The sequence below is a fragment of the Homo sapiens genome, chromosome 3 (assembly GCF_000001405.40).
Source record: "Homo sapiens chromosome 3, GRCh38.p14 Primary Assembly".
NCBI classification, from domain to species: Eukaryota; Metazoa; Chordata; class Mammalia; order Primates; family Hominidae; genus Homo; species Homo sapiens.
In genome coordinates, this window is record NC_000003.12 from 114,490,984 (window position 1) to 114,510,239 (window position 19,256).

Here is a 19,256-nt window from a genome sequence, read left to right on the forward strand (position 1 = left end):
ACCAGATATCAGCCTACAAACCACCCTGGACTGTGAGCTATTTGAAGGCATAGATGGTGTCTTACTCACCTCTGTATTTTCTGTACCAAACACAGTGCCTGATACAATATACTCAACAGATGCCTGGAGAATTTAACTAAGCCCTTTCACTGCCCTTTCTTACTGGCCTCAGCTAGAACCAAAACAAGAAGCTAAAACTCCTAATGCCACAAATGCTAGGTGAAACCCTATCCTAATTCAAACTCATTTCTTCTGATTTTGCACCTTGGTCCCCAAACTGCTGGAGAAAATCCCATGACAGAGCAGATAGGTATCAACATCAACCCACCAGACTCACCTGCACCTTCCACACTGCCAAGGAGAGTCCTACTGTATTTCTCTGGTCAACTTGCTGTCCCATTTGTCTCAAGAACGATTTCAAATCTCTACTTTCCTTAAATCTCTTCCCCGCTTATTCTTAGCAGGACCTTGCCCCTCAGTGCCCATCACTTGGGAAACCTCTTAACCTTTCAGTACCAAATCTACACGTGGGCTTGCATCTGCTCCTTTCCTTTACTCCTCCTTTCTTACAAAAATAGAAGATGTGTCCCTCCTTCCATCTCTCCACTTGTACTCAGGATTCCATCTCTCTGGCCTTATCAGTAATCTTATACTGCCAGTCATCCTATGCTCTTCTCTCTTCTGCACATTGGATCTCTCCTCTCTACGGTATTCTTCCCATGAAAATACAAAAAATACTAGTGTTTCCATGCTTTTCCAACCTTCTTTTGACCTCACTTCCCCCCTCAAGATATTGCAGTAGCTCATTTTCCTTTCCTTCATAGCAAAACTTCTGAGTGGCCCACATTTGCTGTTTCTTCACTTCTCATTCTCTCCTCATCCCATTACAAACACGTTATTGTTTTGACCACTTCAACAAAACAGCTTTTGCTGAGGTCAACAATAAGCTCAAAATTAATATAAGCAATATATATTTGTTAGTCTTTAACCTACTTGATTGCTCAGTAACATGTCACATCACTGACCACTACCTTTGAGGCACTCTCTTGGCTTCTGTGCCTATGTTTTCTGATTTTCCTGCCACCTTCTTGGTGGCTCCTTCTGAGGGTATTTTATGGCCTCATTTTTTTCTACCAGCGGATTAAATATTAAGAGCTCTTCAAGTCTCAGTTTAGGTCTTCTTCTCAATCTAACCCTGTCCCTAGGCAATGTTATTCATGCCAACAGATTCATTTACCACTATATGTCGATTACCCTGAATTCATGTCTCCAGCCTTCATGTTACTTCTGAATTCCAGTTTTATGTATATAAATACCTGTGCAATATGCTCACTATGTATCTATCCAAAGTACCTCACACTCAACATCTCAAAAACAGAACTTACAAACTTCTCTCCACTCCAGTCCTCCTTTGGTGTTTCATGTAACTGTGAATGGTATTATCCTTCATATAGTTTGATAAGCCCCAAACCAGGAGTCATTGTTGCCACTTCTCTCTTTTATTTCACATAACCAACCATGAAAAAGTCCAGGAATATTTTACTTCTGAATTATCTCTCAGTTCCATCAATTTCCTCCCATTTCCACTGTCAATACTCTAGTCTGCCTCTTATGTGGTCTACTGGAATAGCTCCCTCACTGGTTTCCTCATATCCATTTTTGATCCTTCCAAATTATTTACCAAAGTTAAGCTACCTTGATATATATTTTTAAATTTTTAATTTCAAGATAATTTTAGATTAACGTGCAGTTGTAAGAGATAATACAGAGAGATTTGTTATTCTTTTTACCCAGTTTTGCCCAAATGGTAACATTTTATATAACTGTAGTACAATATCACAATCAGGAAATTAACATTGGTGCAATCCATCTGCCTTACTCAGGTTTCATCAGTTTTATATGCACATGAGTATGTGAGTGTATATTTAGTTCTGAGCAATTTTATTACATCCATACACTCATGAATACTACCACAGTCAAGCTACAGGACAGTTCCATCACAAAAGATCCCTTGCGTTATCCTTTATAGCAACACTCACCTCCATTTCTATCCCAACTCCCTAACTTTGTCATCCACAAGTATGTTCTCAATCCTTACATATTTTTTTCATTTCAAGAGTGCTATATAGATAAGAATCGTAACAGTACATCATCTTGAGATTAGCTTTTTCACCCAATGTAATACCCTTGTGATTAAAACCAGTTATTGTATGCATCAATAATTTATTCTGCTTAGTGCTGAGAGGTATTCCATGGTATAGATATAACAGTTTGCTTAACCACTGACCCACTGAAGAAAATGTGGGTTGTTTCCAGTTTTGGGCTATTACAAATAAAGCTGCTATGTACATTGGTGTAACATAATGTACAGGTGTTGTACAGTTATGTTTCCATCTCTCTGGGATAAATGCCCCAAAGTTTACCCTTTTAAAAAACAACAATGATCATGCCACAGTCCTTCTTAAGTTTGCTCCTCTACTGTCCTTAGGATAAACACAAAAATCCTTAACATGGCCTACCAAGGACCTGTTATCATCAGGCCTTACGTATCTCTTCAACCTCAACCTGGGCTGCTAGTCACCTTTTTCTCTCTGTGCAGCTCTCTTCAGGGACTTCATGCTGTTCCCTCTGCCTGGAATCCTCTTCCACCATCCATCCTTACTTTTTGTTTTTAACCTTCAGGTGTCATCTCAAATGTTACTATTTCAGAGAAGCTTCTCCTGAATTTCCAGACTCAGTTAAATCTTCTTCTTTTATTTGCCCTTAGAGCACATGGTACTTTTATTATATAGTGGTAAGCACAATTTGTAATTACAAGTTATATTGTGAGACCATTTGCTTAGTATCTGTCTTACATTCCCCAGATTATAAGCTCCAGAAGGAGAGAGACTATGTTAATATTCCTTTATTATATATACCTTTAGTATTTAGTAGACACTCAACTTTGTGTCCAGTAAAATTTGGCTGAGGCTTTTAAGACATAGTCCTGGAATCAAGTTCTATCTCTACCATTTATTAGATGTTCTTATAAAATAAATCAAACATGTTAAATCTCAGTTTTCTGATCTGCACAATTAGGATTATAGTAGCATCTACTTAATAGGGTAGTTTTGAAGGTTAAATCAGATAGCCATGAAAAGTATTTAGTCCAGTATCTAAAGCAAGGCAAGCACTCAATAGGTATTTCTTATTGTTATTATTAGTTGAACAAGAAACTAGAGTTTTTGTATTTTTTTTCCTAACTAGGCTTTTGTCCATTATCTTCATTTCTTGCCTGTTCCCCCAGGTTCTGATTCTTGTAACTTTTGAGACTCTGAAAAGGGGCCCTTAGTTTAGATCTTGGATAACCAGTAGGACTACTGGTTCTTACCCCAGGTATATGCTCTCAGACCAGATGTGGCTCTGGTTCCCATTTTCATCTCACTCAGTACTTCCTCCTCTTGTTTTCCAGTCTATGGATGTCAGTGTGGGTAAGAATGCCTCTTCCCTACTCCTAGTTTCCAGATGTTTTCTAAACACTGCTTTCCTCTTGTCTCATTCCTTATAATTCCCCATGGAGGCAAAGTATCCCATTGGTGGGAAAGCCCTTGGTCTATATTTCTCAGGTAGGTAGAACTGATCTATCCAAATTTGTAAGCACAGGAGTTTAACCTCTTTGTCCTTCCTTTTCTACTGAGACTATCGGGAGGTGATGACCTGGAAAGTGTTGCTCATATGCAGATCCACATTTTCCTGTAAGAGAGCTTTTGAAAGGTTTGACTGAAGGGAAGAGAGTCAGCAAACCCATTTCCTCTTTACACTAAGCTATGCTCTTCAACCAACCTTTATAAAAATTTTGGTTCCCTAGCTATCAGTTCTTTTGTCTTATTTTTCAATAGGTTTAGAATTCAAGTGGGGAAAAGTGATGCTATTTATGGGCCCCCTCGAAGATTCCAACACTTTGGTATATGATTTTGCTTGGAATATGATTCTGTTTCTCTTCATCTTTTTTACATTTTAGCCAGTTTTCAAGACTCAGCTGAATCAGTTTTACATGAAACTTTCTAGCCTGCAAGGCTCTTTCATGAATGAAACCCTATGGTACTTCCTGGACTGTATCATTCCTTTTGGAACTTAGTCATTTATTATCTTATGTGCATACACAACGCTCAACAATATAACTGTTTTTCCTAACTCAATTTTAAATTCCTTAAGAGCAAGAAAGGGTCATGTACTTATGGTATATTTATGCTTTAACTATCCAATAAAAATTATTCTTTGTACATAGCATGTTTTTAATAATATCTTAAAGCGTGAATGTGGGGGAGAGTGGCCTACTGACCAGGCTTTGATTTGAAGGCCCAAGGTACAACGGAAATGGCTTAGTAGCTGGATGGTTCCTGAAGAGGTTGTCGCAGTGCAGTGGTGAAAGAAAGAAAAGGTTACTATGGGCATGTCCCTGAGGTGTGTATCAGTGCAAGTCTGTGTATACACACACACACACACACACACACAGTCTCTCTCTCTCTTACATATATATGTAAATAGAACTTAAATCTGTCTTGTGCTGTGTTTTCGCCTTAGTAATACTTTATTTCTCTTATTAAAAATACATGGAACTCACCATCTGATAGGTAGAAAGGCTAAGAGAAATGCAACCAGAGGGAGGTAATATTCCTGGCTATAGTCGATTGGTGTTCAGAGTGTTTTGATTCTCTGAATGAGTCAAAAGATTGAAAAAAAAATAGCCACTCTTATCACTAGGAAAAGAAATGAGGAGGAAGGGTCCTGAAAATGGTGTCTGAGCAATGAAAGACAGTGAATATTTTAAAGATCACAAAATTTAATTTATTCAACCTAAATGCATAAAAGTACAGGTGGGGACATTATTTATGCAGGTATATGCAAATCACTTTATAAAATAGGCAAAGCCCTTCTGCTTTTTATAAGTTGCCAAGGTGGTTCCTGATATTTTAAAAGCTATGCACCTTTAATGTAATTTCCTAAGAGTTGGAATCCCTCTGTCGAAATCATAGTCATTGTCAGAGCAAGTTGATTTTTTTTTTTCCTATCCTCTGGGACATTTACAAGGATCTTATAACCATCACAAAAAGAGTGGTTTCCACAGAGATGTGACTGGAAAAATCCCTTGGAAATTGCTGAGGAGCAAGTCACAGTGTTCAAAGCAAAGAACATAGGCTTTGAAAACATGAACCCATCTGACCTCTTGAATTTAGTACAGTGAATTCCTGAGCTCTGAAACATGGGGCCCGGCTGTGCATGCCATATTGGTGCTATAAGACTGGCAGTAGGTTGGCTGTGGCATGGTCTATTTCAAACTCCTTCACAGTGCCCAGTGTTGCATGTTCCCAGATGACATTTGGTTGGCAGAAGCTGGGCTTCCAAAGCTGGCAGCCTGGAATGCAGCCCACTGTGTTTTGACAAACACATAATTGACCATCTGATCACCAGCCTACGTTCTGCACTCAGGTCACTGGGGGACCTGGGCTTTCAATAGGTCCCTACTCCTCGTCTTGTTCATCTTCCCAAACCTTTCTCCAGAAAGCAATATAGAGAAGGCTTAAACACACCCACGCATATCCTCCCATTTGCAAAAGAGAACATAGTACATGAAACATAAGCTGTTGAAAATTTCCTTTAAATTGTCCTGGCAGCCCAAAGTGAACAAGAGAAAAGCACACTTATGGTGAACTCTAATTCAGAGAGAAGGAATGAATACACTGAATTGTTTCAACACCCGGCTGTGCATAAGTTGCAATTCAGTTCAATGGTTTGGAAATTTTGCTTAGAAAAAGGGAGCAATGAGAAAATGATAGGAAATTGGGGCATTGATTGACTTTAGGGGGGCATTATTTAGAAACTGTTTCATTTTCAGGTGAAAGAAGAGACAAGCAGGACACTGGGAATGTCTTCTCCTTATCTGCCTGCTCCTCCCTCACACCCACTATGGGCAGTAGGAGGCACGCGAGCCTGGTGACCAGGGGGCAGTAGCTCAAAGTGAGGTCATATTCAAATTGAGGTCTTTGCTGAAGATCCCATAAGGATGTATTTTGGTCTGAAATTTGACTCCACACAATGTTTCAGCCTTTCTCCTAGAAGGCAAAGATTATGCAATAGGCCAAGATATGCTGGAATTACACAAAGGTTAATGTCTATTTCAACACTACCAAATAGCCTCTCCCTCCATCCTACCCCTACTGCACAGTTCAGGCCTTTGGCTTTTACCTTTGACCTGGTCTCCCTATTCTGAGTCAGCCTCTCCACTTTCACCAAGTGCTCTTTCTAAAACATACATCTGCTTACAATTCTTCAAAGCCTCCTTGAGCCTGCAGGATCAAGTCCAAACTCCTCTGCACGGCATACAAGGTCCTCCGTATGGCAGGCAAGGTCCCCTGCCTGCTTTCCAGCCCAATCTCATACTACTCTTTCAACCACCATGTTTCAATCACACTGAACTATTCACTCCTCTGAATCTCGCTGCTACTTAACGCCTCCTGATTTTGTAAATGCTCTTACATTTTTCTTGATTATGATCCCCTTTTCTTTCTGCTCTTTCATATCTACCTGGTAAACTGCAATTTACTCTTCTGACTTTAAGACCCAGCCTGGTCACCTTACCACATCCAAGTGGGCACTCCTCCTTCATTCCTCTTACTACGTCTTGTATATACCTGCATTTCAGTGCCTATCATATGCTATAGTCTTTATTCACTTATGTATCTCCCCTATCAGACTGAGATTTCTAACAAAAGAAAGCATTTCTTATTTATCCCGGAGTTTCCAGAACCAAGCACAGTGACTAGCTTTCCATAAATGTTTGTTGAATGAAAACTAAATAAAGAGCTGTACATGATAATTAATCAAAACGAAGCCAAGTAGTAGTGTTAGCTTTTATAAGCATAGTAGGAGCCCATTAGCAATCTAATGAAGGCAGAAGATCCCAGCAGTAAGGCACTTTCTGATGGGTATGGCAGGGGCTGGTGACTGGCTGGGGTGACAGTAAGAGTGAGGGATAAATTCTGTGATGGAGGAAGGTCTTTTTAACAGAGACTGCCACTAAGGCTGTAAATTAACACCCTTTTCAAGACTTAATATTCAATACTGAAAGATATTGTCCTGAGAATAAATCTGAATCTGAATTGTATAGAGACCTAACTTATAAGAACCAAGTTTCCCAAATAAGGTAAGTCTGTGCTACCTGCTTCAAGGTAGCATGGCAGATTATGGAGGGTTCCTCTTTGTTTCTGCTAAACAGTAATGGAATGGGAAATTCTTGGGGGAACATCTGAGAGCTCTTCAGTTCCTATTGAAATCCAGGTCAAATACAGATTGTGATACTGGACTAAATGCACTGCTAAGAGAAGATCGAACAAGCAGAATTCTGTACCTGTTTAGAGGAGGCCATTGAAGAGGCACTTGGAGTCAAAGCACTGGGGAGATAATGTTCTGATCTGTTCTCAAGGGACATTGGACATTTCTTTTCCTTTTGTCGAGCCTCTGGGGCACCACTCTGGAGCCATCAACCATCAACTGTGTCTATGGGATACTTGAGGACAGTAGGACTGTCATAAGCCCGGTCACCCTGCTGATATGAGGGCAGCTTCAAGATTTGGAACAAGCCAAGCAAACATGAAGCCTGGCCCAGGGATGGCACAAGGTCATGGGTATATGAACGGATTATCTGCTCATTATAGGTCACTCCCCCAGCCTTATGTGTGGTTAAAAAATAGGATATCTCTAGAAGCTATGCAACTGATGGCTGATGTAGCATAGAATCAGATTTGCATTTTCCTATGAGCCAGAGACAGCCTTTCAACTACACTTTTTATCTCAAAAGTCTCCCCCTTGATTCCTAATTGGTGACACAGGTCCCCTGTACTGCTTGTGTCTGAGGCTCGCCCTATAGCACTGACGTCACAATAGCTGAGCCGTGCGGGCAGGAGTGCACTGTGCTGACTCATCCCGGTGATGTGAGGATTAATGCCTTGTCTAACACAGAGCTATTATGTGAACTGTTTTTACACAAAAGAACTGTAACAAAAATGATTTGCCAGTCAGAGGACTAGAAATATGCAGTGCTAGGTAACTGAGGGGAGGGCTGTGCAGATATAAAGTGGTAACCATAAGCATGCATATTGACATCCTCCAAAGCATTTACAGACCCACTCTATCAACACTGAAATAGAGAATAACAAGACTTGTCAGGGACAGGTAGGACCCACCCCTGTTGTATAAATGCATTACACACAGCTCCAGTCTTTGGGGAGTTTAATCAATCTCCTTTCTCTGTCAAATAAACTGTCACGTTACACTTTAGCCTTAGCATCCTTTGGAGGATTCTGCCTCCCTAAATATATTTGCCACTATCTTCTAGGAATGTTAGTGGAAGGCACGCATAAACAAAATAGCCATGGGAACCTCCATTCTGTGCAAATGATTATAATACAAGAAATACCTTGGAGTGAAGAGTCAGTGAAGCAAGATATAATGTTGTGAATAAGGAACAGAGCTCACCAGAGAGTGAGAAGCAGCCAGAGGATACCGATAATTATTTATCACATTAGGTGACTATCACTACCTGTAGGATCTTTTGGGTGGTGTCTCTTATAAGTGACTTTGATTATTTGGGTTCATTGGCCTAGAATCTTTTTCAAGCAGTTCAAAATAAAATTTATTTAAACCCATTCAGTGCAGCCTGGTTTGAATTTTAAATAATGAACGTTCTCTTTTTTTTCATATAAAATCGTGTTTTTTTTTCCCCCCGAATACCTTTCCATCTTTTCTAAAAAAGAGTGGTACCTTTATAAACCTTCTGGCACACGTGAATCTGGGATTTCTTTTTTTCCCCTGTAGACTTCATAATTTTGCACAAAAGTTTAGTCTATTTATTTTACAGTCTTGTACTTCTTAGTAAAGGGATATTAGAAATTTTGTCAATAAATGAAAGCTCTGATCTAGAAGTTAAAATTAAAAACTATTGGACCTAGGGATGGGTACATAACTGAAGAATACATAATTGCCCAATGATTGACAGGGGAGCAAAAGCCCAACTGTTGCTGGTATTTGGCTGAATAATGTAAGCTATACTTTAAAAGAGCAGTGACTTTTGCAAACAGCAGCTGCAGCCAAGTAAAGGGCAGCCTTTATAGAAGTACAGTATCTGGGCCACTGGTATTTTCTGCACCCTCATGGATAGCAACTTAGTATTACCACCAACAGCATACACTCCAAACGCAAAAGAAACTAATACACACTACAGAAGCACTAGAAACCACAACAAAGTCAACTAGGAAATATGCCAGTGAAAACCACAATTTCCTAAATCTGACACTTTTTTTTTTAAAGGTAAAGAAATCACTTTTACTTACGTAAAGAGAAGGGGCAGGTCACAGACTGATGGTCAAAGATCTGAAAATCAAAGAAAAAATAAGGAATTAAAAGCAAACCGATATATGATGCAAAACCAATATATAAAAGCAAAATGATACAGTGGGAAGAAAGAAAGCAAATCTAGGCATAGATGGGACTGGTTGTTCCTAAAGGAGCCTATTTTGTCACTTCTAGCCTCAAAATAAAGGAGACCCAGCTTCATAAAAACTTTCTAAAGGTATGACCCCCTGCTATGATGACCAAGACAGTACTTCCCAGCACAAGGAGTGCAAAGACCTTTCTTTGTTCATTTCATTCTAATCTGTATCATATAGGATTTGGTAGAGCTATGTTACCATTTAACAAAATAGCCACTAGCCACATTTGTCTATTTAAATTTAAATTATTTAACATTTAATAAAAAGCTAAACATTTAGTTCCTCAGTCTTGCCAGCTTCATTTCAAGTGCTCAATACCCACATGTGGCTGGTGACTGCCTTACTGGATAGCACAGATAGAAAATGTTTCTATTATTGTAGAAACTTCTATTGGGCAGCACTGACTAGAATAGGTAAAAGCTTTACTATACAGTACATGACCAATTTTAGCTAATTTTGACAAAGATGAGTCAAACCCTGATAAACTTTGTCTCTTTTAAGGTATATTTAGTATGTTTAATGTCCAGAAGTTCCTCTGAACAAATTCAATACATTCGTGTGTAGCTAAGAACTCAGTCCTAAGTTTGCCCCGGACTTGCCTTCTAAAACTGCCTCTACCCCTTCTCACCAGCCTAGAATGTCCCCTCTATGGTGGAAAATAATCTGATAAAGTGATTTTAAACAAAGCTTCTCTCCCACCAAACACAACTCTGTTTGGTGATGAAAATTTCAGATGAAATGATGAAAATTTTAGATTTTGGAGAAGCTGACCCTAACAGTGTTCTTGTTCTATGTTTAAAATCTGATATTTCACTCTTTAAATTACAAGCCAGGCTAGGCGCGGTGGCTCACGCCTGTAAATCCCAGCACTTTGGGAGGCCAAGGTGGGTGGATCACTTGAGGTCAGGAGTTCGAGACCAGCCTGGCCAAAATGGTGGAACCCTGTTTCTACTAAAACTACAAAAATTAGCCAGGCATGGTGGCGGGCGCCTGTAATCCCAGCTACTTGGGAGGCCGAGGCAGGAGAATTGCTTGAACCTGGGAGGCGGAGGTTGCAGTGAGCCCACATCACGCCACTGCACTCCAGCCTGGGTGACAAGAGCAAAACTCCGTCAAAAAAAAAAAAATCACAGGCCAAAAAAAAAAAAAACTATTATAGGACTGGTCTGCCCATCATTGTGCTTTGTTTTTTTTTCTTTCTTTTTTTTTTTTTTTTGAGATGAACTCTCCCTCTGTCACCCAGGCTGGAGTGCAGTGGCACGATCTTGGCTCACTGCAACCTCTGCCTCCTGAGTTTAAGCGATTCTCCTGCTTCAGCCTCCTGAGTAGCTGGGACTACAGGCACGCACCACCACACCCAGCTAATTTTTGTAGTTTTAGTAGAAATGGGGTTTGCCATATTGGCCAGGCTGGTCTCAAACTCCTGAACTCAGGTGATCCACCCACCTTGGCCTCCCAAAGTGCTGGAATTACAAGTGTGAGCCACCGTGCCCAGACCCATCAGTGTTTTGATAGCTTCTCTTAGAAGGATAAAACTGAAGTAGGAGGAGAGCCATGACAAATTAATAAACCAAAAAAAGATACTGAGAAAACAAAGCAGGTCCCCCTACCTCTAGCCCACTTAAATATATCAAGAATTTAATACAGGGTGATTCAATCTTGCCTCTCTGACACCATGATTTTAACAACTTCACATAAGGCCTCCAGAAATATGCAAAACAAACTTCACTAAAGGAGATCAAGTAGAAGGACCTGATTAAGTATCTTTGCATTGAAAAGGCTAAAGCAGAAAACCAGCAATTAAAGACATCACCCTTCCTGGAAAGTTTCTGGGACAACTGCACTATTGTAGAGATTTCTTCAAAGAAATGATTTCCCTTTGTGGTCAATGTGAAACCTTGCTCAAGTACATGCAGGTGTACTTGATGCAGGATGGTGACAAGACGAGTTAAGATGAAAATCTCCAGCCTGGATTATTATAATGCTAATACAAGAGAGGCTGGAGATCTCCAATGCTTTCAAATTGTTTCACAAAATTCATGAGTTTAATGAAAATTTTAGGCAAGAGAATTAGATTATGTATGATTCATTGAAAGCACATACAAATTTGAAATATATATATAACACTGACTAGTCTTCAAAGATTTTAAAGCTCTAAGTTTTGCTATATTCTAGTCTTCTCTGCAAGCCAGGATATTAGACTATGGCACAGGGGCATATTTTCTTACCATTTTCCTCCCTCCCTCTCTCCTTTCTTCCTTCCCTCCCTCCCTCCCTCCTTTCTTACATTCCTCTCTCTCTATTTCTCTTTCTTTCTTTCCCTCTCCTTTTTTGAACTTGCTGTCTTCTCTAACCTTGGGGAGAAGAAGAAAATATTATTAGCAATTTTCTATGAAATATGTTCAATGATCATTTTTCTGTTGCATGTTATAAACCCAATAACTCTCAACAATATTATGCTCTTCTAAAATTATACCTAGTGTTTATGTTCTTATATCTAAACACATAACTTTCTTTTCTAAATTTCAAGGTGCATTTATTCATAAAATTAGTTAAAATTAAATTTTTGATGTGATCAAAAGAGATCAATGTAAGTTGTACCCAAATTGACTAACACATCCAATGTCTGGAATGAAAAACTATCTTTCCTGGATGTCAAATGACACACAGGATGGCTGTCAATGATAGGAATCCAAAATGGAGAGAAAAATTACAGTGTGTATGTCACAGTCTAAAACAAATTAAAGCCAAGTTAGATGGAAGTTTTATTGGATATAATTGTTGTACTTATATGTTAATATAAAATGATAATATGATCCCAAACTTAATAGTATGGCTAAAAATTTAATCTCAGAGTTCTTACACAATTCATAAATGTTCATAGGCATCAAAAGACACCTACTTCTTGACTGAATTATAATCTGCTATGTAATTCTGAGAATATGTATTAATCTACATAGATTTATATTTGCTCAATTCAAATTGTTATTTCATTGATACATGCTCTTTCCACCTAAGTGATATTCACCTTATATGTCTATAAGTTGTTTTTATCTGAAATGCAAAGAATTATCTATAAAAGTTTCACAGAGGATTAAAAACATTTGCATTAAGCACACTTTGTTCAAAGCATAAATATATCTAGCAAAGAGTATAAAACTGTAAAGCCCAAGTAATTCAGGACGTTAAAATATCAGGGTGGAAGGTGGGGGATGAGCAGAGAGAGGGGGATGACGAGGGGTGAAGTTTAATCTTCGTATTATAATGTCTGAGTGGAAATTATTATATAGTGTCAATCTCCAAGAATCAAAAATATTATTAATTATAACTTTAAAGTCAATTCTAGTGTAGTTTATGTAAAGTTCTACAGCAGTGGTTTTCAACATTTTGAAGTGATACCGATCCCTATGAGAATCTCTTTCTCCAGAAAACTCCTCAAAAACACCAAGTTTCAAGGAACTCCTAGACTCCATGAAGGCCATTCATGAATCCCAGGTTAGGAACCCCTGGCCTAGGCAGACAGGGGAGAAAAACCCTCTTTCAATCCCATAGCTACTCACCTCTACAGAGTTTTCATGAAATGCTATAAACTAAAGCCAGCAGCAAAGAAAATGTATAAAAAAGAGTTCTAAGTGGGTAAGGGTATGTGGTTAGAGCCACACAGGCTTCTTTGAAGGCCTGCCAGACTCCTACCTTCCTAGTCCTTTATAATTTCTTTTTTAAAAAAATCTACAAAGCCTTAGCAACAATGGAGTAGAGGAGTACCGAGCAGAGAGATGATAATGATATAAGAATCACTATCTACTGAGTCCTTCAGGTACCTTGAGAAATAAATCCTTCCCAAATTTGGATATGAGTATACCCAGGAATGTGAGCAGTGTAACGGGAGTAGAAAAAGCCACAAAATAAATAGTAAATACATGGCTGTCTTCCTGGAGGGTCAGTATTCCTTGTGGGCAAGTAATTTAAAGTCTTATTTGCACACGTGTTCATTTATCCAATAACTACTTCTTCAATGTTATACCAAAAAGAAAACAGATACTGTTCTTGTCCTCATGGAACTTCCGGTTGAGTGAAACAAACAAGAATATATTGAGGAGCTGAAAGGAAAATCTGTGTATATATTTTTTGGGTGAAACCTGAGACTTCACTGAAAAGTCTTGTTTGTGGCAGACTACTTCAAGCAATGTCCTGGCAGGCACCCTTAGTATTGGATCACTCACTCTAACTTGAGGATCACCCAAGTGGAAGAGTTTGAGAAGCATGGTTAGCAGTGTATCATTTAATCCCCACTACAAGAGAAAATACTGTTACTTCCAATTTACTAGAGAAAAAAGAGAAATTTGAGAAATTAGGAAACAGCTCAGATCATACCGCTGCTGGCGTCTGAATAAGTGTGTGCCATTCCAAAATCTACATATTTTTAACCACTAAATTACACTACCTTTAGGAGTTTCCCACTTTATGTTTCCCCTTGAATCTGGGCTCATTCAGGATTACGCAGGCTAGTTTAAGCTTCTCTTTGGAAGCAGACAGGTTTGGCTTGATTTGCATTCTAAATATTTCACAGTGGTAAGCGAAAGCTATTATTATACCCATTTTATGGTGAGGAAGCTGAACCACTTGCCAGCTGAGGTATCTGGCTGGGTTAAAAACAGAATCTGGGTCGTCAGACTCTCATTCCTCTTGACTAACTCCAAGCCTAGGCACTATTACTGTCCATGGGCTTTTCTGAACATGAGATTCACACTGGGTGATAAAGAGTGAGACAAATTCTGCTAAGAGAAAACAATAATAGTGCAATTGAAAAAAAGGGAAAATAAGTAATCATAACTCACACCAAAATTGGTTACTTTCAGCATTGTGAATAGAAAAGGGAGAGATTATTCATCACAAATGAGTCAGAAAATTAGAATGTGTCACTGCACTGATGACAGAGCTGAGGAATTTGGATGAACTGAAGTTTGACACTTATCCTTCTAGCTGAAGAGGGTAAATGGTGTGACAACAGGACAGAAATGACCTCTTATTTCCAATCTTAATTAATATTTCCAATCTTTTTTCCTTAACTACTCTGTCTAAAAGTTAGATGGGTTTATATGTTTGTTTTCTATCGGTAGAGATAATGTTTTAACATCCCTTTAACGTTCTAGAAGTATTGCGTTAATTAATTCTTATGTGGGAGTCATTCCAAATAGTAGGATGATGATTTTTACCTTATTGATTTTCCTAATACCTTTCTGGTTTCCAGTGTTTTCAAAGGATGAGGCACTATTAGATTTTTAGATTTATATGTCTCTCAAAATTAAGTGCCTGTCAACTGATATTCCATCTTTACTCTGGATACATGATTTCCTTTATCTGACAGATTCAAAAAAATTTGTACTAGATTTAATGACATTTCATGCATCTTGAATTTGGGAGTTTTTAATTCTCTATTTTCTATTTGGCAAAAGGTTTACAGGAGAAAGCCAGATGCAAGGGTATTTATATGTGCATACAGAACCTGTGCCATCACTCTCTAGGTACTTTGGGGTTTCCTGCAGGACAGATTCTTGATGTATTTTCATTCCTTTTGGTCAGGAAGAAGAAGACTATAAATGCCACAAATGGTCATACATATCTTGGGGTCTGCTTTCCAAAACGCATATTATTTTGGATCCGTCTCAAGAAGAACAATAAGAGAATGATACTGAGATCTTTTTTTCTTAAGATGCTATGATAACAATCCTAAAAAATGGCCTGCCTTCAAAATTTTGATGATGAAATAAGGTTATAATCAATAAAGAGAGAAGATTTTAAAGTTCAGCAATTAGGTCTGGGACTGCTTCTGCGCCTGAGACATTGCCAAGATACAATGTAACACTCCATCCCACCCCATATGAATCTCCCTGTTCCTTCTTGATTCTTACGGGGATAGGGTCTGACAGACTAGAATGAAATGAAAGCAGTAGTGCTGGGAGGGGTGGCAAGGACCGAATTTGTTTAATACATTTAGGATGGTTTTTTATTGCTGCTAAACTAGACACAATTCCTTAGCATGATGACATTCAGGAATCCTTTACAATCTGATTCCAAAGAACTTTCTCTTCTATATCTTAAACTACTGAAATTGTAGCTCTATAAATTCCAAAGGGATTGATGTACCAGGACCTTTGACTTATAGTAAACTGATCTTAAGGGATGCTGAAAAGGTTTGGCACTGCTATCATGTGGTCTAATCATTTAGACTTGTCACTACCAACTATTTGCTTAAGAGCCTCCAAGACCTTTCACAATCTGGCCCCGGCCCACCTCTCTACTTTTAATAAAAAATTTTCCCACTGCTGCTTCTTTATATACGGTGACAGCCTATTTGCTCTTCCCTGAACATGGCCTGGGACATCTATGTCTCTGAGTCAGCTAACGGTTCACACTTGAATCTCCCAAGCCTAGCATAGTGTGTGAAACACAGCACGACACTCCAATGTTTGTTGAATAAATGCTGTCCGTCTATTTTAGGAGACAGAGATGACAGAAGAAAGTTGTTAAATCAGTAAATAAATAGCACCAGAGAGAGGTCAAGGAAAAGTTAATTTTAGTGCATTTTAGGAGTGGGGGCAAGATGAGCTTGAAGATTAGGAAAACTGATGCTCTTTATTCTTGGGTCTAGCCAATGCTATGAGTCAGTTACTTTTTCGGGAACAAGTTTAAACCTCAAGGTTAAATGAACACAAATGCCCTGTCCATCAGCATATAATGAAAAAGTTGTGGCTATTTCCACATCAGCACAGTGAAATTAAAATATGCAGTGCCTCTCTAAGAGGCATCACATATGACAGAGCTTTTAAAAATAGTCCCCTTTGCCACTCAGGTATAGAAAGAGCTATAGAAACAAAAGCAAATGTTTGAAAAACTGAGATAATTTAGCTTAGGGAAGAAAGAGCTGAGGTGTGTCTTTATGGTTTTTTGACTATAAGAAAAGTTGTTACAAAGAGGATAATGATCAGCATTTTTGTCCTAGGGCAAAATGACATTAAACCGTCCAGTGCAGAATTTAAGACTTAAAGATGAACATTCTAAATATGCAAGTGGTAAATAATCAAATAGATTGCTAAGAGCAGTTCTGAAATTTCTTTCTTCCTGACTCTCTTAAAATAGGAAAAATCTTCATCTATTTTGGATAAAATAAATGCAGCTCTGCCTCCAGTCAGGAGAATGAATTCAATAACTTTTCTAGTCTTGTTTAACTCTGTATGATTCTATAAAATTCTATAAAATGTTCACCCTAAAAATTATACAGAATCACAATACAGTTGAGTAAAATACATTCTACAGTTTAAAAAGAAATAAGCAATACAGATAGTTGATAAGTTATTACATTCAAAATAGTAATATATGGTGCTCACGTTTTTTATTCAATTTGCCAAGTGCATATAACACAAATAAAATTGGGAAAAATGTACTTGAATCTACTAAGGCTTTAACATAGCGATTATCTAGAGTAAAACAGTCTAACAATTAATTCTTTCATGTCTAAGAAATTTGCTGAATATTTCATAAACCTCATATTGAATATGTATATAAACTCAATTTCCAATTAAAGAAAAAGTTTTTTGAAGGTCCAGAAAGTAATATATGAACTCACTATTATTATTTCCTGGACCATCTTCAAAGACAACAGGAGAACCACTAAACAATTCCTTTAAATGACCAAAATGTGCCCCATATGATTAAGAATGTAAATCTAATAACAGACTCACAGATAAGGTCTAACAGGGGTGGCAAGTTACTGGCTTTCTTTGTCTATTTACCTTTTAGCTTTGGAGCTCAGCAGAAGTGTCCATTACATACAGCACAGGGTTAGATGAACAGCTCCAATGACCTTGTCTGAACCAAATTCATTTAAAGCAGTTTGCCACTTTTCTTAAATAGAAGATGAGTCCATTCTATCTATGGCCCAGATTTGGACTGGATCACTGAACTATTGCCCAACTCTTATAAGCAAAGCACTAACATGTACCAATCAACAGGCGAAGGCATCAGGAAGGTAAAAATACACATACATAAGAAACTGGCAGTAGATTAAAGAAGAAAGCTATATCTAAAGATGGACTTTGGCTTTTAAAGCCTTTGAGTGTTATTCGAATCTTGTTAACAAAAACAAAAACAAAATCTGCATTCCAATGTAACTTGTAGAGAAGATCCAGTAAAAAAATGAATTCAAGAGAGAGAGAGAAAGAAATGTAGTTTTATTTTGCAACCCATTATTTCCATAAGAACATGAATCAAAGAGTCAGCTATGCCAATTTCTTCATAGCTGACTAGTTATAGGATATTGTTCTAGTCTTCACTAATGACTTCTTGAGGTTGGTTATTACTGTGATCAGGAGTTGGGAGGATAGAGGTCTAAGACCTTTCAAAAGAAACGTTTTGTTTAGTATCACTACAGAAAATAAAGTCAGCATTAAGCTAACTTTGACAACCTAACTAGGATAATGGTTGGTGCATGTAGCCATTGCTTATGCTGCTTCATAATGAATGGAACAGTAAAGGTGTCAAGTTAACCAGCAACTTGAATTTTGAAAAGCTGTGGCACAATAAGCTGATAACATAGGTTGTTAGAATTAGCAAAACTTACTTTCTGCTTCCCCCACCTTCTAGTCCTACTTATTTCCACATCCACATTCCTATCACCAGGCAGTTAAAGAAACAGAAACAAATGCGGCTGAGACTGCTTCTTTGGGGATACTCTTAGTGAGCTCTCCATCTCCCCAACCACAACTTGCTCTCAGTTTGCTAAAAATATATTCATTTAATTGTTTTAATGCCTCTACTTAGGGGAATTTGCATTTTCTTAACTGTTGATACAAGATCTACATTCAGTTTTTTTCACAGGTAATAAGCAAAGTATTTGGGGAGTGTGTGTGTGTGTGGTGGTGGTGGTGGTGGTGGTGGTGGTGGCAAATTCCGTCCTAGATGCTTCGAGTTTTCCAAGTATACTGCTAAAAGGGGTCATTTGCTTCCCCACCTCAAGAAGCCAATTGTGCTTATAGTTTTACTTCAAATAAAGATATATACCTATAAATGCACACATCATACGTGCACACACACATATTCTTCTTCTCAAAAGTCATAAACATTTGGTGACTCTCTGTATACTCCATGAAGTGCTGTTACTACTAAAGTCAGAGTAATTTAGGCAGAAACATAAGAAACCCCAAATGGTTTGCACTGAAATTTTATTAACATATTTGTCAGTGTTTTCCTCATGGATAATCTCCATTGGTTCCTGGCTCCTTGTCAGCATATGCTCCAGGAGCCTCTCACAATATCTTTCTGCCCTAGAAATCCTGGCCTGTGAGATTTCCTTGTAAATATCTGAATTCTTGTATTCACCTATTAATGATCCAGGGATCGAGGATGTTTTCTATCTGCTCCTTAACCTCCCACTTCAAGGATTAGATTGTAAACAACCTAGTGGGAACCCTTCAGGCCAAACCACAGCTGAACGAATCTCAGCAGGCAGGGAACCCGCAGCAGTCTGTGAAATACCGTGAAACACAATTACGAAAATATAAAGTATTCACCCATACTTTGGGGAAGAAATTATGTTGTTTCCAAGATGAGACCTCAAAAATAAGGCTAGTATCCTAATTGAGAAAGACATGATTTTAAAAAGTGTCAGCAGAGGTAAATTTTTAAAAGTACCAGATTTGCCAGGTCCTTCTCAAACCATAGATTCATTTT

General features: G+C 38.3%; 1 protein-coding gene and 1 long non-coding RNA gene across 18 annotated transcripts in view; one reads left to right on the plus strand and one right to left on the minus strand.

The window, feature by feature from the left end:
• ZBTB20 (zinc finger and BTB domain containing 20) overlaps positions 1–19,256 on the minus strand; it is an 832,789-nt gene that overhangs the window by 176,484 nt on the left and 637,049 nt on the right. For all 17 annotated transcript variants that reach the window (NR_121662.3, NM_015642.7, NM_001348801.3 and 14 more), the window contains one exon: positions 9,369–9,408. The gene's annotated coding sequence lies outside the window, so the exon portion shown is untranslated. The remainder of the gene's footprint in view (positions 1–9,368; positions 9,409–19,256) is intronic.
• Positions 1–19,256, plus strand: part of ZBTB20-AS5 (ZBTB20 antisense RNA 5) — a 66,540-nt gene that overhangs the window by 37,391 nt on the left and 9,893 nt on the right. The window lies entirely within an intron of this gene.